At 46.2% G+C, this 20,068-nt stretch overlaps 2 annotated features.

Moving 5' to 3' along the window:
* Window positions 2,308-2,808: an enhancer, noted in NCBI's record as "H3K27ac hESC enhancer chr8:64059469-64059969 (GRCh37/hg19 assembly coordinates)". NCBI's record gives its function as "activates a minimal SCP1, AML or CMV promoter by ChIP-STARR-seq in naive H9 embryonic stem cells {active_cell/tissue: H9 hESC(naive)}" and the evidence as "EXISTENCE:reporter gene assay evidence [ECO:0000049][PMID:30033119]".
* Window positions 2,368-2,662: an enhancer, noted in NCBI's record as "tiled region #14742; HepG2 Activating non-DNase unmatched - State 21:Repr, and K562 Activating non-DNase unmatched - State 22:ReprW". NCBI's record gives its function as "activates a minimal TATA promoter and a strong SV40 promoter by Sharpr-MPRA in HepG2 and K562 cells {active_cell/tissue: HepG2 | K562}" and the evidence as "EXISTENCE:reporter gene assay evidence [ECO:0000049][PMID:27701403]".

Consider the following 20,068-nt stretch of genomic DNA (forward strand, 5'->3'; position numbering starts at 1 on the left):
CGTGTTAGCCAGGATGATCTCAATCTCCTGACCTCGTGATCCACCCACCTCGGCCTCCCAAAGTGCTGGGATTACAGGCGTGAGCCACCGCACCTGGCTGGGGGTATTCTTGAGAGACGGGTTGGTATCCATCATGTCATTGTAGCAGGAGGATCGTCTGGATTATCTGGCGGCTAACTGTAGTTTCAACAAGAGTTTTAATGGCTTTTATTATCCGTGGGATAACACAGGGGAGAAATAGGAGGAACCCAATGATGAAGATGACTGTCCCTACCAGAGTTTTAAATCCTCCTAAATTAGAGAACCACCCTCCTAAAAGGTTTGTTGGGTCCCATCCCTTCCAGGTTTGTACTGGTACATGGGCTGATTTTCTGATGTTTGAAGGAATTTCTAGAACCGCTTTTCCGTTATCGTCTATGTTAAGACAGCAATTAGAGATATTAACTTACCACAGACCCCACCTTCTTCTGCTAATAAGTAGTCTAGTGCTAGCCTGTTTTGATAAATTGCTGTGCACATTTGGTTTTGTAGTTGCACAAGCATTTCCAGGGCTGAGGCGGTTTGGTTAGTGATTCTCTCTAGAACCGCCTGTAGTCCAATTATTCTATTTAGGATATATACGGGAATGCAATAACCCTATGAACCAGCCTCAGACCAAGTGGCAGGACCGTTATATTCCATGATCTGTTGTGGAGGCCATTCGCCCTCTTGCCATCTTTGGCTTCCTCCTACCTTTAAGGATCGTTTTTCTCTGTTTAAGTTATCATACACAGGGACTCTGAGGTGTCACCTGCCTGCTTTGGAAGTAAAAAGAATCCAGGTTTTATTATGCCTAGGAAGCAAGTACCTTGCCAGTGATAAGGTAGCCATGAGTAAGCCTGGGTTCCACATATCCGAAAGAATCCATCGGGGCAATCCATTGTAGGCTGGTGTTCATAGGATTGTCCCATAGTGCACTTAGGCGGGGGTATGTGGCATAAGGGTTAGTGATGTTTGTACAGTTCCAGGCCCTTTTTGACGGAACACAATTGAGGTAGCTTAAGTTAGTTCATAAGACTGGGTGAGGTACTGAAACTCAAATATAAGAGGTAGAGTCTTCTGGAAATGAACCGAGTCTTTTGTTAATTTGAGAGAGATCAGTGAGGGAGAAGGGAACATGAACTCTAACAATACCTTCAGTTCCTGCTACTTCCCGAAGGGGGCACTGTAGCACAGGCGCTAAAGTAAGGGTGGGGGCATGGGCCAAAGATGGCACCTGAGCGAGTATGGGCAGGAGAGAAGGAAGAACCTGAAAGTGGTTCCTATTGAGGGTTTGAAGGGGGAAAGGAGGTTGAGTTAACAGGCAGTGGAGGATAGATAGGGGTGTAAGGTGGCGAGAAGGGTTTACAAGCCTCAGGAGAGGGCAATGAGGGAGGAGAATGGGTACAGGCAATACTAGAATTGTCCTGAGGAGGGGATGGTGTAGGAAAAGAAGTGGATACTGCTGACTGGGAAGATGGTCACTGGGAAGATGGCGATGGAGAAGATGGCGACTGGGAAGATGGCAGCTGAAAAGATCGCAGCTGAGAAAATAAAGAGGTGGCTTGGGGTTTAAAGAAGACGGTTGAGAGGGAGAGGTAGGGGCTGGGAGAGATGCACAGCAGTCTGCTGGATCCAGTGAGGAAAAAGAGGTGGAATCAGGAGGAGGAGGGCGATCTGGACGGCAAGAATGGAGGAGAAGAATTTGAACAAGTGAGCAAGAATTGCAGAGGTCGGGTTGTGATCTGAGTGCAAATAGGCCTGAACATAAGGAATTTCTCCCCATTTCTCCAGTCTTCGGCAATAATTGCTTAAATCAGTTGAAATTGCAAAGTTGAATGTTCCATTTGCAGGCCATCTAATTCGTACTGTGTCCAGACTGAAATGCAAAAAAAGACAAGGTGCTTAGGGTGGATATCTTGCCTGAGGCCTAAGGTTTGCAGGGTTTTTTATATAAGACGCAGCCTAGAGGGCTGGCACACATTGGAACCTTCTTGGACCGACATTGGATTTTCGGACTGGAGAAACCAAGAGAGGCCATGTGGATTTTTCCCTGTTAACTGGGCTCCCGGGGAACTTACCTGTAGGTGAGATCAGTGACCTACATGCATGCACATAGAGGTGACTGGAGGCTGAGCAGCTCCCTTTGTCCAGCTGCTGTGGTCTGCTGTCCGGGGTGGAGGGGTAGGTCCACAGGGAACATGGACTGGAGCCCCTCTTGGGTTTCAGCACCAGATGAAATGTTCTTGTATAAATTCAAACCCCGAGAGCATGCCAACAGACAACACGAGGCAGTGTGGAGCAACACGCTGTTTTAATGAGCGCCTGGGTGCAGGCGGGCTGAGGCTTAAAACGGCGTCAGCACCAAATGAGAATTGGGCAGGGGTTTTATAGTCTCCTGTAAACAGGAAGTGCCTCAGTCTGATGTAACTGCTATGCATGGTATCCAGATGGCCTCTTTCTCAGTCTTCAGCGGGTGTGTGTCTTCTGGCCAGCTCTCTTCCTGCTTCTGCTATCTTGCTGACTCAGGCTGCTGGCACAAGTGGTCTTGTGCCTTGGGACTGGGCCTGAGAAGGGAGAAGTTATTCATTCCCTTAAGCTTTCAGGCCCTGGGGAGAATCTTTCAATTACGATCAGGATATTGACATCAATATACTAAGATGCAAAATTTTCCCTCAAAACAAGGGTCATTTGCGTTGTTCTTTTATAGCTAATGTCTCACGTGTGTCTGTGTGAAGAGACCACCAAACAGGCTTTGTGTGAGCAACAAGGCTGTTTATTTCACCTGGGTGCAGGTGGGCTGAGTCTAAAAAGAGAGTCAGCAAAGGGTGGTGGATTATCATTGGTTCTTATAGGTTTTGGGATAGGCGGTGGAGTTAAGAGCAACGTTTTGGGGACAGGGAATGGATCTCACAAAATACATTCTCAAGGGTGGGGAGAATTACAAAGAAACTTCTTAAGGGTGGGGGAGATTATAAAGAACCTTCTTAAGGGTGGGGGAGATTACAAAGTACATTGATCAGTTAGGGTGGGACAGAAACAAATCACAATGGTGGAATGTCATCAGTTAAGGCTATTTTCACTTCTGTGGCTCTTCAGTTGCTTCAGACCATCTGGATGTACACGTGCAAGTCACTGGGGATATGATGGCTTAGCTTGGGCTCAGAGGCCTGACATTCCTGTCTTCTCATATTAATAAGAAAAATAAAACAAAATAGTGGTAAAGTGTTGGGGTGGCGAAAATTTTTTGGGGGGTGGCATGGGGAGATAATGGGCGATGTTTCTCAGGACTGCTTTGAGTGGGATTAAGGGCGGAGTGGGAACATACAGTGGGAGAGATTCAACTGAAGAAAGATTTTGGGGTAAGGGGTGATATTGTGGGGTTGTTAGAAGGAGCATTTGTTGTATAGAATTATGAGTGATGGCCTGGATGCGGTTTTGTGTGAATTGAGAAACTAAATGAAAGACACAAGGTCCGAATAAAAGAAGGAGAAAAACAGGTATTAAAGGACTAAGAATTGGGAGTACCCAGGATGTCCAATTAGAGAGTGTCCAAGGGGGTCTAACGTTATTGTTAGAGATTAAGCTGAAGGAAGATTTTGTGGTAAGGGGTGATATTGTGGGGTTGTTAGAAGAAACATTTGTCGTATAGAACGATTGGTGATGGCCTGGATACAGTTTTGGATGAATTGAGAAACTAAATGGAAGACACAAGGTAAGAGAAGGAGAAAAAGAGGTATTAAAGGACTAAGAATTGGGAGGACCCAGGACTTCTAATTAGAGTGTCCAAGGGGGTGCAAGGGGGTTAGCATAATTACTTGCTTGGTTTGCAAGCTTTTAGGCTCTATCTTTGAGTTTTTTTTAATGCTGTCATATACCAGGCCAGATCGATTTAGGTAAAAACAGCACTCTTCATTTAAAAATATAGAGCCCCCCCCCCCTTTTTTTTTTAGCAGTGAGTAAGTCGAGACCTCAGCAATTTTGGAGGAAAGAGAAATGCAAAGCCAGCAATTGTTTGTTAAAGAAGGATTAGAAACGGCTAGGAGAGAGTGACTGAGATTGATAGTGTGGTGGAGATAGCTGGGGAGAGGTAGAGGGTGGCATAAGAATGGGAACGAGAATAAAAGTATAAAAGTAAAGAATAGGACTTCATCAGGGTGAAAGTATTGGAGTATACTTTGCCACTGAAGATCTTCTATCCATTTTAAGAGAGACTTAAGGGTGGCAGTTTGAGGTAAAACCAGGCGCCACTGAATACCAAGAGCCTGAGAAACTGCTTGGGTGATTTGACTAGTAAAGGACGGTCTGTTATTGGACTGTATAGAGGTGAGAAGGCCAAACTGAGGAATTATATCTGACAGAAGGGAAGAAATGACTGCGGTGGCCTTCTTAAACCCTGTGGGAAAGGCCTCTACCCATCCCGTGAAAGTGTCTACCCAGACCAAGAGGTATTTTAGTTTCCTGACTTGAGGCATATGAGTAAAGTCAATTTGCCAGTCCTAGGCAGGGGCAAATCCCCGAGCTTGATGTGTAGGGAAGGGAGGGAGCCTGCAGATGGAACACTGAGAAGTGATTTCCTTAAGGATAGATTTCCATGATGGAAAGGAAATGAGAGGTTCTAAGAGGCGGGTTAGCATCTTGTAACCTACATGGAAGAGGTTATGAAATGACGACAGAATAGAATGGGCCTGTGAGGCTGGAAGGAGATATTTTCGTTGGTCCAAGAACCATTTGCCTTGTGTGGGAAGAGATTGATAGGTGGAAGTTTCAGTGGGGGCAGTAGGTGGGAGTGACCAGATGAGAAGGAGAAAAACTGCAGTGGGGGTTAGAAGTTGGAACGCTAGCTGCTTTTTTAGCTACCTTATCAGCATAAGCATTGCCCTGAGTGATGGGATCTGATGCCTTTTGATGGCCCTTGCAGTGAATGACTTCAGCTTCTTTTGGAAGTAAAGCGGCCTGAAGAAGAGTTTTAATTAAAGAGGCATTAATGATGGAGGACCCTTGCATAGTGAGGAAACCTTTCAGCCCATAAAACAGCATGGTGGTGCAGGATATGGGGTCAGTATAAATATTGATGCGTAGTCCTTTTGCAAGAGTGAGGGCCTGAGTTAAGGCAATGAGTTCGGCTTGCCGAGAGGTAGTGGAGGGGGGCAGAGCAGTAGCCTCAATGATAGATGTGGAAGATACTATAGCATAGCCTGCCTTTGCTGGTGTGTGGCAATTAGGCCTGGTGGAACTGCCATCAATAAACCAAGTGTGATCAGGGTGAGGAACAGGAAAGAAGGAAATATAGGGAAATGGAGTGAATGCCAAGTGTATCAGAGAGATACAGTCATGGGGGTCAGGTGTGGTATCAGGAATAATGTTGGAGGCTGGATTGAAGTCCGGGCCAGGAACAATGGTAACTGTGGGAGACTCAACAAAGCGTGAGTATAGCCGAAGGAGCCGGGGAGCAGAAAGTATATGCATCAGGTGTGAGGAAGAAAATAGATTTTGGAAGTTATGAGAGCTGTAGAAAGTGAGTTGAGCATAGTGTGTGATTTTGAGGGCCTCTAAAAGTATTAGGGCGGCGGCAGCCACTGCACGCAGACATGAGGACTAGGCTCAAAGAGTAAGGTCAAGTTTGGACAGAAAGGCTACAGGGCGTGGTCCTGGCTTTTGTGTAAGAACTCCAACTGCACAGCCCTGCACTTTGGCTGTGTGTAATGAAAAGTGTTGGGATGAGTTAGGGAGAGCTAGTGTGGGGGCAGCTTCTAGGGCTGTTTTTAAGGAAAGGAAAGAGGAGTGGCAAAAGGATTTAGGATCTATGGGGTCAGCTAGGTTTGGTTTTGTGAGTCTACATAATGGTTTAGTCAGGATGGTAAAACTAGGTATCCAAAGGCGGAAGTACCCAACTATGCCTAGGAAGGAAAGGAGTTGTTTTGTAGAAGGGGTTGGGGTTTGGGAGATTAGCCAGATACGATCAGCAGGGAAAGCACGTGTGTTTTCATGAAGAATTAGCTGCTGAGATAGGTAACAGATGGGGAAGAAATTTGGGCTTGACTGAAGTAATGGGGGCTGTCTGTGAAGCCTTGCGGCAGAACTGCCCAGGTAGTTTGCTGAGCCTGATGGGTGTCGGGGTCAGTCCAAGCGAAAGCAAAGAGAGGCTGGGATGAAGGGGGCAAGGAATAGTAAAGAAAGCATGTTTGAGATCCAGAACAGAATAATGGGTTATGGAGGGGTTGTGCAGAGAGGTACTGAGGATAGGAGAGTATGTGGGTTTGGCGTCACGGAGTGGACAGGCAAGACAATTTGGTTGATAAGGCGCAGATCCTGAACTAACCTGTAAGGCTTGTCCGGTTTTTGGATAGGTAAAATGGGGGAATTGTAAGGAGAGTTTATAGGCTTTAAAAGGCCATGCTGTAACAGGCAAGTGATAACAGGCTTTAATCCTTTTAAAGCATGCTGTGGGATGGGATATTGGCATTGAGTGGGGTAAGGGTGATTAGGTGTTAATGGGATGGTAAGGGGTGCATCATTTGTCGCCAAGGAGGGAGTAGAGGTATCCTATACTTGTGTATTAAGGTGGGGAGATACAAGGAGAGGATGTGAAGGAGGCTTGAACTGGGGCAGAAGGCAACAATGAGGTGTGGCTGTAGCCCAGGAATAATCAGGGAAGCAGATAATTTAGTTAAAATGTCTCAGCCTAATAAGGGAGCTGGGCAGGTGGGTATAACTAAAAAGGAGTGCATAAAAGAATATTGTCCAAGTTAGCACCAGAGTTGGGGAGTTTTAAGAGGTTTAGAAGCCTGGCCGTCAATGCCCACAACAGTTGTGGAGGCAAGGGAAACAGGCCCTTGAAAATAAGGTAATGCGGAGTGAGTAGCCTCCATATTGATTAAGAAGGGGACGGACTTACCCTCCACTGTAAGAGTTACCCAAAGCTCGGCATCTATGATGGTCCAGGGGGCTTCCGAGGCGATCGGGCTGTGTCAGTCTTCAGTCGCTAAGCTGAGAAGATCTGGGAAGGAGTCGATCAGAGCCTTGGGCCAGTTAGACAGTCCAATTTCCAATGGGGTCTGCACAGATGGGACACGGCTTAGGAGGAATCCCGGGCTGTGGGCATTCCTTGGCCCAGTGGCCAAATTTCCTGCACTTGAAGCAAGATCCTGGGGGAGGAAGTTCTGGAGGAACCCCTGGCAGCTGTGGTTCAGGTGTTTGGAGTTCTTGTGTGCTGGAGATCTGGCTGGGGTTTATCTCACAGTGGAGGCAAGGAATTGCAACTCAGAAATACATTGCTACTTGGCTGCCTCTACTCTATTACTGTACACCTTGAAGGCGAGGTTAATTAAGTCCTGTTGTGGGGTTTGAGGGCCGGAATCTAATTTTTGGAGCTTTTTCTAATGTCGGGAGAAGATTGGGTAATAAAATAAAATGCATATTGAGAACAAGATGGCCTTCTGACCTTTCAGGGTCTAGGGCTGTAAAGTGTCTAAGGGTTGTTGCCAAATGGGCCATGAACTGGGCTGGGTTTTTATATTTGATGAAAAAGAGCCTAAATGCCAACTGATCTGGGAGAGGTCGGATAAAGAAAAAGGAGCATTAACCTTGACTATGCCTTTAGCTCCAGCCACCTTTTTAAGAGGAAATTGCTGGGCAGGTGGGGGAGGGCTAGTCTCGGAACAAAACTGTAAGCCAGACTGGGTGTGAGGATGGGAGGTGATAGGAGGATTATAGGGTTGGGGAGCAGAGGCTGAGGAAGAATTGGGACCTGGCTTGGCCTGGGGAGGAGCAGCCTGGGGAGAAGGGGAGAGGTCAGATGAGTCCATAGAAAAGAAGGATTCAAAGGACTCAGAGCTTGGGTTGGAGACTGAAGGAACAGACAGGAGAGAAAGAAGAAAGATTTGGGATGAGTCGCATTGGGAACAGAGGCTAGGGAGGGACCAATGTGTAAAAGAATGCCTGGATGTCACGCATCTCAGACCATTTGCCTATTTTTCAACAAAATTTATCTAGATCTTGTAGGATAGACAAATCGAAAGTGCCATTCTCTGGCCACTTGGAACTACTGTTGAGTTTGTATTGGGATGAAGCAGTACTGCAGAAGAAAATAAGATGCTTAGATTTTAGGTCAGGCGAGAGTTGAAGAGGTTTTAAGTTCTTGAGAACACAGGCTAATGGAGAAGAAGGAGGAATGGAGGGTGGAAGGTTGCCTATAGTGAAGGAGGCAAGTTTAAAGAGAAGGGTAGAGACATGGAGAAGGGGGGTGGGGAGCAGCCAAAGCAGACATCCCCGCAATTGACTTGCCACCAAGGGAATGTGGGTGAATGACCAAGGCAGGCGTCCCGAAGGAGATCAGACACCAATGGAACGTGGGTGAATAATCAGAGAGGCATCCCCATAATGATTAAACACCAAGGGAAGGCTGCCTTCCCAAGTCCATGACCGGCGCCAGAGTTTTGGGTCCACGGATGAAATGTGTCTCCTTTGTCTGTACCAGAAAATGAAAGGAATTGAAATTAAGAGAAAGGAAAGATTGAAGGGTGGTGCCAAGATTGAAAGGAGAAAGAGATTGAGGGATAGTGAGAGAGGTTGGAGAAGAGAGTAAAAAGAGGCCACTTACCCGATTTAAAATTGGTGAGATGTTCCTTGGGCTGGTTGGTCTGTTCATAAATTTGGAAAGGAGAGCTTTATTTCTCATAAAGAGTTGCAGCCTATAGGGTGGCCATTCTCACAGGCTGGGAAATGTAGCCTCTGGTCAGAAGCTGAAAACAGACACTTGAGGGTAGAAAGAATAAGACATGGATTTATGCTAAATGAAGTAGCAAAATATACTTATTCAATAAGCGATAGGAGGAGTCATGAATATTTATGAAAGGAGAAACATACACATGTGCAGTTGAGCTTCATGCCTCTCCAGGGACCCATGTTCAAAAACTGGTGGCCAAAACAATCTGAGGGGAGAGTTTTTGGCCCTCCAACATCAAAAGGTGAAGCAGAGGACACAGCCTCACTGAGCTAGACACAGTGACTCATGCCTGTAATCCCAGCACTTTTGGAGGCTAAGACAGGTGGATCAATTGAGCCCAGGAGATCAAGACCAGCCTGGGCAACATGGCAAAACCCTGTCTCTACAAAAAATACAAAAAATTAGCTGGGTGTGGTAGGGCATTCTTGTGATGCCAGCTACTTGAGAGGCTGAGGTGGAAGGATTGCCTGAGCTGGGGAGGTGGAGGCTGCAGTGAGCCATTATCATGCCACCGTACTCCAGCCTGGGTGACAGGGTGAGATCCTGTCTTAATAAAAATAGTAAAAACAAAACCCCTCACTGTGCATCCTCTGTAGACTGGCCAGAATGATTCCATTGTCAATGGTCTCTATCAGTAAGGAATGCTGGTTGGTTATTTTGTTGAAACTTCAAAAGGGAGGGGCAGCATCAGGCAGTTGGTTGATATCAGGGTGGAGTGAGTCTTTCCAAAGATCTGGTTTCTGTTTAACTCTTAGGAAAGAAAGCCTAACGGTGGTTAGTAAGGGAAGGAGTATAAGGAGGGAGTATAAGGAGGGGCACAAGGAGGTGTTTCCAACCCCAGGTTTCTCTGGGGTTCCCTTGGCCAAGAGGGAGTCTGTCCAGTTGGTTGAGGGTCTTAGGATTTCATTTTGATTTCTCACCAATAAAGTGACTATAAACATTTGTGTACAGGTTTTTCCATGAACATGAAAGTACATTAGATTTATATTCCTGCTGTAACAAATCACCACAAATTTAGTGGCTTAAAACAATATAAACTTATTATCTTACACTTATGGAGGTCAGAGGTCTGCCTTTCTTCTGGAGTCTCTAGGGAAAAAAATCCATTCTTTGTCTTTTCCTTCCAGAGGCTGCTGGCATTTCTTGCTTTTGGCTTCATTAATCCACCTAATTTAATCACCTCTGCAAAAAGCCTCTGCCATGTGAAGTAATGTGTTCCCAAATTCTGTGGATTAGGATGTGTACATCATTATGGGGCTATTATTTAGGGGGGCACAGTGAATTTTCACTTCTCTGAGATAAGTGTAACTGCCTAGTGGTTTCACCTTGCCTGCTGCCTAGATAGAGCTGATTTACCAAGACAGGGGAATTGCAATACAGAAAGAGTAATTCACGCAGAGCCGGCTGTGCAGGAGACTGGAGCTTTATTATTTCCCAAATCAGTCTCCCCAAGCATTCAGGGATCAGAGTTTTTAAGGATAATTTGGTGGGTTGGGGACAGCCAGTGAGTCAGAAGTGCTGACTGATTGAGTCGGAGATGAAATCATAAGGAGTCAAAACTGTCTTGCATGGAGTCAGTTCCTGAGTGGGGGTCACAAGATCAGATGAGCCAGTTTATCAGTCTGGGTGGTGCTGTTACTGGAGGAGGGTCCTGATCCAGACCCCAAGAAAGGGTTCTTAGATCTTGCACAAAAAACGACTCGAGGCAAATCCATAAAGTGAAAGCAAGTTTATTAAGAAAGTAAAAGAATAAGGAATGGCTACTCCATAGGCAGAGTAGCCCCAAGGGCTGCTGTTTGTCTGTTTTAATGGTTATTTCTTGATTATATGCTAAACAAGGCATGGATTATTCAGGAGTTTTCTGGAAAAAGGGTGAGCAATTCCCAAAACTGAGGGTTCCCCTTTTTCGACTATATAGGGTAACTTCCTGGCATTGCCGTGACATTTGTAAACTGTCATGGCACTGGTGGGAGTGTGTTTCAGCAAGTGAATGCATCATAATTAGTGTATAATGAGCAGTGAGGATGACCAGAGGTCACTTTTGTCACCATCTTGGTTTTGGTGGGTTTTGACCGCTTCTTTATCTCATCCTTTTATCAACAAGGTCTTTATGACCTGTACCTTGTGCTGACCTCCTATCTCATCCTGTGACTTAGACTGCCTGACCTCCTGGGAGTGCAGCCCAGTAGGTCTCAGCCTTATTTTACCCAGCCCCTATTTAAGATGGAGTCATTCTGGTTCATGTACCTCGGACAGTGCCAGCTGATTCATGAAGTGCAGGGTCTGCAAAATATCTCAAGCACTCATCTTAGGTTTTACAATAATAATGTTATCCTCCAGGTGCATGACTCCAAAATCATAATTTCTAATCTTATGGCTAATTTGTTAGTCCTACAAAGGCAGTCCTGTCCCCAGACAAGAAGGAGGTCTATTTTGGGAAAGGGCTTTTATCATCTTTGTTTTAAACTATAAACTAAGTTCCCCCCAAATTTAGTTCAACCTATGCCCAGGGATGAGCAAGCATAATTTGGAGGTTAGAAGCAAAATGGACTTGGTTAGTTAAGATCTCTTTCACTGTCTCAGTTATAATTTTACAATGACAGTTTCATAAGTACCTAAAAGTGCAACAATTTGTTCATATGGTAGTTGTATGTATAGTTTTATATGAAATTGTCAGTTTTCCATAGTGACTGCCTCAGTTTATAATCCCATCAGCAACATGGGAATGACATAGTTTCTCTACAACTTCACAAGCATTTGGTGCTCTTACTCTTTTTTATTTTAGCCATTCTAATAGGTGGTTAATGATATCTTACCATGGCTTTAATTTGCATTTCTCTAATAGCTAAAGATGTTGGATATACTCATGGTTTTTACATGTCATCTGTATATTCTCTTTGGTAAAATATCTGTCCATATCTCTTTGTCTGCATTATTTTTAATGTAAATAACCAGCAGTTCTTTAGAAATATTTTCACCAGGGGTAATAACAGAATTAAGTCGTTCTTTGGATAGATTTTTCACCTGCATCTCTGAGGAAATTTTAGTGTAGTGCTTCTAAAACTTTAGTGTGCATCAGAATCATGAGTAGAGCTTATTAAACTAATTGTTGCGATCCAACCCAAATTTCTGATTTAGTAACCATGGGGTGGGGCCCTAGATTTAATCTGCATTTCCAATGAACTCCCTTGTGTTGCTAATGCTCTTATTCCAGGAAATAATTTCCTGCTGCCTTTTTTTCTCTTCTTTGAGACAGGGTCGCACTTTGTTGCCCAGGCTGGAGTGTAGTGGTGCAAACACAGCTCACTGCAGCTTCAACTTCCTGGGCTCAAGTGATCATCCCACCTTAGCCTCTCAAGTATCTGGGACTACAGGTGCATGCCACTACACCCAGCTAATTTTTGTATTTTTTGTAGAGATGGGGTTTCACCACATTGCCAAGGCTGGTCCTGAGCTCAAGGGATCTCCCTGCCTCAGCCTCTCAAAGTGCTGGGATTACAGGTGTGAGCCACTGCACCACACCCACCATTTTTTGTCATTGTAAATTTTCCTGTAGTAAACTGACCATGAATGAGAAAGTTGTGCTCAAAAGTGAAGTGCTACCAAAAAACAAAAATGGTTGGGGACATGTCAAAAAGATGCAAGAACCAACCTGATCTTCAAAAGGCCAAAACGAGAGTAATTTGAACAACAAAATTAGTAATAACTGTACTGGATTATAACCTAAAGAATAAAACAAATATCTCTAAGTCCTGTGAAGGAAAATATATCTTCAGACCCCAGATTCACTAAGCCAAAGGGAAAAGTCAAGCTGTCAGGTAAAACTGCCTCCCATTGTATTCCTAAATAAAATAGCTACAAAGATAAAAAGGCTGTATACCTCCCTCACAACTTTCCCACAAGGAAATTTCTTGTAGACAAAGGACAGAAAGAATTCAGAGCCATCCCTCTGCTCCTGTGAGACAAATGCATATGTGGGTGCTTCTTTTGCCCTATTGTTTCACTAAGCTAGATGAAGGCATAAGCGACTATTCCTATAAATTGTGTATTCAGTCAAAGGCTAATCAGAAACTCAAAAGAATGCAATCGTTTGTCTCTTATCTACCTATCTAGATGGGATAATTCCCTTGACCCCCTTCATGGGCAGGAACTGGAATGGTTTGTTTCACTTAGCCCTCCACTGGCCACTCCTCATGAGAGGGAGCATGCAAGCAAGCAAGTATGGGAACCGGAGCAAATGAACCAAATGAACTCTGGAACCCACCTGTTGTTCCCCTCTGATGGAGCAGGCTCTGTGCAGCCCTGCAGCAGCATCAAAGCATATTACAACTCTTTCGTCTCTGCCATCTGGGGATGGCCAAGTGCCAACCAGTTGAAAGGGTCAGGTTGGCAGCCCCTGCCCTCTCAGTACCTGGGTTCTTGTTTGGCATCCAGGAAGAATCATGTCACATGAATGGATTGAAGGGTAGTGTATGTGGAGGATTTTACTGGGCAGTGGAAGTGGCTCTCAGTGGGATGGGGAGTCAGAAAGGGGATGGATGGTATGGGAAGAAAGTGATCTTTCCCTGAAAACTGGCCATCTCTGGCCGGGCCCCTCTCTGAAGCCGCACCGTCTGAAGTTAGCCATGTCTATACATAGTCTCCAATGCTCAGTTGCTTCTCTGCTCACCACTCAACCACTTGTATCCCCAATGCTCAGCTGCTTGTATCCCCAACGGCCACTTACATTGCTCTGCCAGCTGAAGTCTTTTTATGGGCACATGATATGGGCATGGCAGATCAAAGAGGCAACATTTGGGTGGAAAAAATGGGGTCGGCTGTTTTCACTTAGGGCCTCAGTTTCAGGCTTAAGGGTGGGGTTTAGCAGGGAGCCCAGCCCTTCTGTATCACTATGACTTGGATGCCCATCCCCACTTCAAGTTGTCCCACCTTTCTGGACAGAACAAATGTGCATCTTACATATATTGATTAATGTCTCATGTCTCCCTAAAATGTATAAAACCAAGCTGTGCCCTGACCCCTTTGGGCACATGTCAACAGGACTTCCTGAGGCTGTGTCATAGATGTGTCCTTAACCTTGGCGAAATAAACTTTCTAAGTTGAGTACGACCTGTCTTACATATTTTGGGTTCCTAGTCCATTGCTATATAAATAAATGGGGGAGGCTGGGTGTGGTGCCTCACACCCGTAATCCCAGCACTTTGGGACACCAAGGTGGGTGGACCGCTTAAGGCCAGGAGTTCGAGATCAGCCTAGCCAACATAGTGAAACCCTGTCTCTACTAAAAATACAAAAATTAGCCAGGCGTGGTGGCAGGCACCTGTACTCCCAGCTACTCAGGAGGTTGAGGCGGGAGAATTGCTTGCAACTGGCAGGCGGAGGTTGCAGTGAGCTCACTTCACTGCACTCCAGCCTGGGTGACAGAGTGAGACCCTATCTCAAAAAAAAAAAAAAAAAAAAAAGAATAAATGGGGGAGAAGGGGCAAGACTTACCTACATATGAATTCTAAATAACATATCTAAGTACTCTCCCACCAAAGAGGTGAAGTTTTAATTCTCTTCCTCTTGAGTATGGGCTGGATTTAATGACTCATCTTAAGGAGAAAACACTAACTTTGCCATGGAAAAATCTGACAGACATCATCTTAACCAAATGATCAAGAGGGATATCACCAATATATACATACTGAAGTCATGTATGACATATGATGTGATGAGAAAGGCACCTCTCCTTGTGGTACTGTCCTCCCGTGGCAGGGTGAACTCACAAATTGGGGCTCAGCCTGGAAGGACAAGTGGGTTCTTGGCTTCATGCAGGAAAGAGTTCAAAAGCAAGCTGACAGGGTAAAGTGAAAGCAAGTTTATTACGAAAGTAAAGGAATATCAAAGTAATAAAAGCCATTTATGACAAACCCACAGCCAGTACCATGCTGAATGGGGAAAAGTTAAAAGCATTCCTGTTACCGGTAGAAGGTATTCAAGTTTGCTAGGGGTGAATCCATACGGGTCTGCAACAACCTCAGTTCTTGCCCCCTCAGAAGGAAGAATTCAACTGAGGGACACAAGGCAGAAAAGGAGACTGAGGCAAGTATACAGAGCAGGAGTGAAGGTTTATTTAAAAAGGCTTAGAACGGGGCTAGGTACAGTGGCTCATGCCTGCAATCCCAGCACTCTGGGAGGCCAACGCGGGTGGATCAGCTGAAATCACAAGCTCAAGACCAGCCTGGCAAACAGGGCAAAACCATGTATCTACTAAAAATACCAAAAAAAAAAAAAAAATAGCGGGGCTTGGTGGCGGTCACCTGTAGTCCCAGCTCCTCAGGAGGCTAAGGCAAGACAATCACTTGAGCCTGGGAGGCGGAGGTTGCAGTGAGTGGAAATTGCGCCACTGCACTCCAGCCTGAAAGACAGAGCGAGACTTCGTCTCAAGAAAAAAAAAAAAAAAAGAACAGGAAAGAAAGGAAGGTACACTTGGAAGAGTCCCAAGTGGGCACCGAGGTCAAGTGAGATGTTTCACCTTGATCCTAGGACTTTATAGGCTCACCCCTTTCTCATGATTCTTTCCTTAGGATGGGCCGCCCACATGCACGCGCCCTACCTAGCCTTGGGAAGTGAGCATGTGCAGTGTGTTTAGGAAGTTGTACGTATGCCCATCTTTTTTTTTTTCTCTTTTTTTTTTTTGAGACGGAGTCTCACTGTCACCCAGGCTGGAGTGCAGTGGCATGATCTTGGCTCACTGCAACCTCTGCCTCCCAGGTTCAAGTGATTCTCCTACCTCAGCCTCCCGAGTAGCTGGGGCATGAACCACCACATCTGGCTGATTTTTGTTTTTGTTTTTTGAGACAGAGTCTGGTTCTGTTGCCTAGGCTGGAGTGCAATGGCGTGATCTCAGCTCACTGCAACCTCTGCCTCCCAGGTTCAAGCAATTCTCCTGCCTCAGCTTCCCATGTAGCTGGGACTACAGGTGCCAGCCACCACCCACGGGTAGTTTTTGTATTTTTAGTAGAGATGGGGTTTCACCATGTTGATCAGGCTGGTCTCAAACTCCCAACCTCAGGTGATCCGCCCGCCTCAGCCTCCCAAAGTGTTGGGATTACAGGCGTGAGGCACTGTGCCCGGCTTAATTTTTGTATTTTTAGTAGAGATGGGGTTTCGCCATGTTGACCAGGTTGGTCTTCAACTCCTTACCTCAAGTGATTCACCCGCCTTGGCCTCTCAACGTGCTGGGATTACAGGTGTGAGCCACAGCACCCAGCCTGTATGCATGCCAATCAGGCTTTTTTCCCTTTTCCAGTGGAGTGCCCCGAGACATCATACTCCACCATTTTGTCTCTTAATGCACATGCCTGGGAAGTTGCTTCTCCCTAGTGTCTGCTTTCAATTAACATTTTAGTGCAATAGGTGTAGACTATCAGGAAATGGCCTCTTCCTGGCACCACCTGCCAATTTATCACTTTTAGAGAGGCAATGTGATAACTGCTGAACCATCACCCGACATTCCTAGTGGGTAGGGGAAGAACCCTCTCCTGCCCTACTCATGCCAGTCTAACTACATGTAACAATGAAAGACCAAGAAACTGAGAAATTGGAGGGGATTAAATAGACGTGACACTGAAATGTTATGTGGTATTCTAGAATAGAAAAATATATATATTCGTGGGAAAACTGAGGAACCCTATAGTTAACAATATTGTACGCACGTTAAAAGTATTGTACCCATGTCAATTACAATTTTTTAAAGCCCATATCTTGGTATAATTACAATGTTGTGTAAGATGTGAAAATTAAGGAAAGGCGAGTGAAGAATACACAGGAACTCTCTTTGCAATACTTCCATAAATTTAAAATTATTTCAAAATAAAGGTGCTTTTTTCTTTTTTCTTTTTTTTTTTTTTGCTTGTTGCCCAGGCTGGAGTGAAATGGCCCAATCTCGGCTAACCGCAACCTCCTGGGTTCAAGCAATTCTCCTGCTTCAGCCTCCCGAGTAGCTGGGATTACAGGCATGCACCATCATGCCAGGCTAATTTTATATTTTCAGTAGAGACGGGGTTTCTCCATGTTGGTCAGGCTGGTCTTGAACTCCTGACCTCAGGTGATCCTCCCACCTCGACCTCCCAAAGTGCTGGGATTACAGGCGTGAGCCACCACGCCCAGCCAAAGATGCCTTTTTTTTTTTTTTTTTTTTTGAGATGCAGTTTTACTCTGTCGCCCAGGCTGGAGTGCAGTGACACAATCTTGGCTCACTGCAACTTCCACTTCGTGGGATCAAGTGATTCTCATGCCTCAGCCTCCCAAGTAGCTGGGCTTACAGGCACCCACCACCATGCCTGGCTAATTTTTGTATTTTTAGTAGAGATGGGGTTTCACCATGTTGGTCAGGCTGGTCTTGAACTCCTGACCCCAGGCGATCCACCTGCTTCAGCCTCCCAAAAGTGCTGGGATTATAGGCGTGAGCCACTGAGAGGTGACAGCATGCTGGCAGTCCTCAAAGCCCTCGCTTGCTCTCGGCACCTCCCCTGCCTGGGCTCCCACTTTGGTGGCATTTGAGGAGCCCTTCAGCCCCCCCACTGCACTGTGGGAGCCCCTTGCTGGGCTGGCCAAGGCTGGAGCCCACTCCCTCAGCTTGCAGGGAGGTGTGGAGGGAGAGGCACGAGCGGGAACCGGGGCTGCGTGCCACGCTTGCAGGCCAGCTGGAGTTCCGGGTGGGCGTGGGCTTGGTAGGCCCCGCACTTGGAGCAGCCAGCCAGCCCTGCTGGCCCCGGGCAATGGGGGACTTAGCAGCCAGGCCAGTGGCTGCGGAGGGTGTACTGAGTCCCCCAGCAGTGCCAGCCCACCGGCGCTGTGCTCGATTTTTCGCCAGGCCTTAGCTGCCTTCCCGCGGGGCAGGGCTCAGGACCTGCAGCCCGCCATGTCTGAGCCTCCCACCCACTCCATGGACTCCCGTGCGGCCCGAGCCTCCCCAACGAGCACCACCCCCTACTCCACGGCGCCCAGTCCCATCGACCACCCAAGGGCTGAGGAATGCAAGCGCACGACGCGGGACTGGCAGGCAGCTCCACCTGCAGCCCTGGTGCGGGATCCACTAGGTGAAGCCAGCTGGGCTCCTGAGTCTGGTGGGGCCTTGGAGAATCTTTATGTCTAGCTCAGGGATTGTAAATACACCAATCAGCACCCTGTGTCTAGCTCAGGGTTTGTGAGTGCACCAATCAACACTGTATCTAGCTTCTCTGGTGGGGCCTTGGAGAGTCTTTATGTCTAGCTCAGGGATTGTAAATACACCAATCAGCACCCTGTGTTTAGCTCAAGCTTTGTGAGTGCACCAATGGACACTCTGTATCTAGCTGCTCTGGTGGGGCCTTGGAGAACCTGTGTGTTGAAACTCTGTATCTAACTAATCTGATGGGGACGTGGAGAACCTTTGTATCTAGCTCAGGGATTGTAAACACACCAATCAGCGCCCTGACAAAACAGGCCACTCGGTTCTACCAATCAGCAGGATGTGGGTGGGGCCAGATAAGAGAATAAAAGCAGGCTGCCCGAGCCAGCATTGGCAACCCGCTCGAGTCCCCTTCCACGCTGTGGAAGCTTTGTTCTTTTGCTCTTTGCAATAAATCTTGCTACTGCTCACTGTTTGGGTCCACACTGCTTTTATGAGCTGTAACACTCACCGCGAAGATCTGCAGCTTCACTCCTGAGCCCAGTGAGACCACGAGCCCACTGGGAGGAACGAATAACTCCAGACGCGCTGCCTTAAGAGCTGTAACACTCATCGCGAAGGTCTGCCGCTTCGCTCCTGAGCCAGTGAGACCACGAACCCACCAGAAGGAAGAAACTCCGAACACATCTGAACATCAGAAGGGACAGACTCCAGACGCGCCACCTTAAGAGCTGTAACACTCGCTGCGAGGGTCCGCGGCTTCATTTTTGAAGACAGTGAGACCAAGAACCCACCAATTCCAGACACACCACCACCACTGTCGGCTTTTTTTTTTTTTTTTTTTTAATACATGGACTTTTGGTCCAACCCTAGAGCTTCTGATTCTGTAAATAAGGGCTGAGTCCTGAGAATCTGCATTTGAATAAGTTCCTAGGAGATGTTGCTGCTAGTCCCAAGGAAACAGTTTGAAGAAATTGCTTTAAGCAAATCTTAAGGTTATTTGATGTTTTCTGCTGCCTTTTTCTTACCATTGTAAATTTCTCTGCAGTAAACTTAAGAATAAATGGAAAAGTTTTGGCTTTTCTGTTTCAAAGCAGATTGATTGACTGATTTTTTACTTTATTCAGTGTCCTTCTTAGCTATTAGTGGTTTTACCTTATGCATGATATTTAAGAATACCTCCTTTTAAAAGTGCATCGATCAATCCTCAAGCTGAATTCTCTACACTTCGTTCATGTACTATATATGTTACTTAAAGATAACAGAAAGCCTTATAAATTTTGGCTTAAACACTGGTAAAATTCAAAGATAAGTTTAAGTGCTGCTAGTTAACAAAGCAAATCCAGGAAATTACTAGGCACAGAGTTTATTACTAAGTATCCCCCCACCCATTCTCCCCCTCTTCCTTAGTAATAAACATCCTCATTTTTAACTGAACACATGGCCACTCAGAATATATTTTCCAGCTTTCACTTAACTTTAAATACTTGTAGGAAACTATGTTTTAGTTAGTAGAAAGTAGCCAGAAATGTTAATATAGTTTGGATGTTTGTCCCCTCCAAATTTCACAATTAAATGTAATCCCCAGCCGGGTGCGGTGGCTCAAGCCTGTAATCCCAGCACTTTGGGAGGCCGAGGCGGGCGGATCACAAGGTCAGGAGATCGAGACCATCCTGGCTAACACGGTGAAACCCCGTCTCTACTAAAAATATGAAAAATTAGCTGGGCGTGGTGGCAGGATCCTGTAGTCCCAGCTACTTGGGAGGCTGAGGCAGGAGAATGGTGTGAACCTGGGAGGCGGAGCTTACAGTGAGCCGAGATCGTGCCACTGCACTCCAGCCTGGGCGACAGAGCAAGACTCCATCTCAAAAAAAAAAAAAAAAAAAGTAATCCCCAATGTTGAGGGTGGAGAGGCATTTGGATCACTGGGGCAGATCCTTCATGAATGGTTTAGCACCATCCCCTTGGTGATGATTGAGTTCTTTCTCTGAGTTCACAGAAGATCTGGTTGTTTAAAAGTGTGTGTCACCTCCCCCATCTCACTCTTGCATCCATTCTCGTCATGTGTAAGCTAGCTCCCCCTTTGCCTTCTGCCATGATTGCAAGCTTTCTGAGGCCTCATCAGAAGCCAAGCAGATGCTGGACCATGCTTCCTGAATAGCCTG

This window comes from Homo sapiens, chromosome 8, assembly GCF_000001405.40.
Source record: "Homo sapiens chromosome 8, GRCh38.p14 Primary Assembly".
Lineage (NCBI taxonomy): Eukaryota > Metazoa > Chordata > Mammalia > Primates > Hominidae > Homo > Homo sapiens.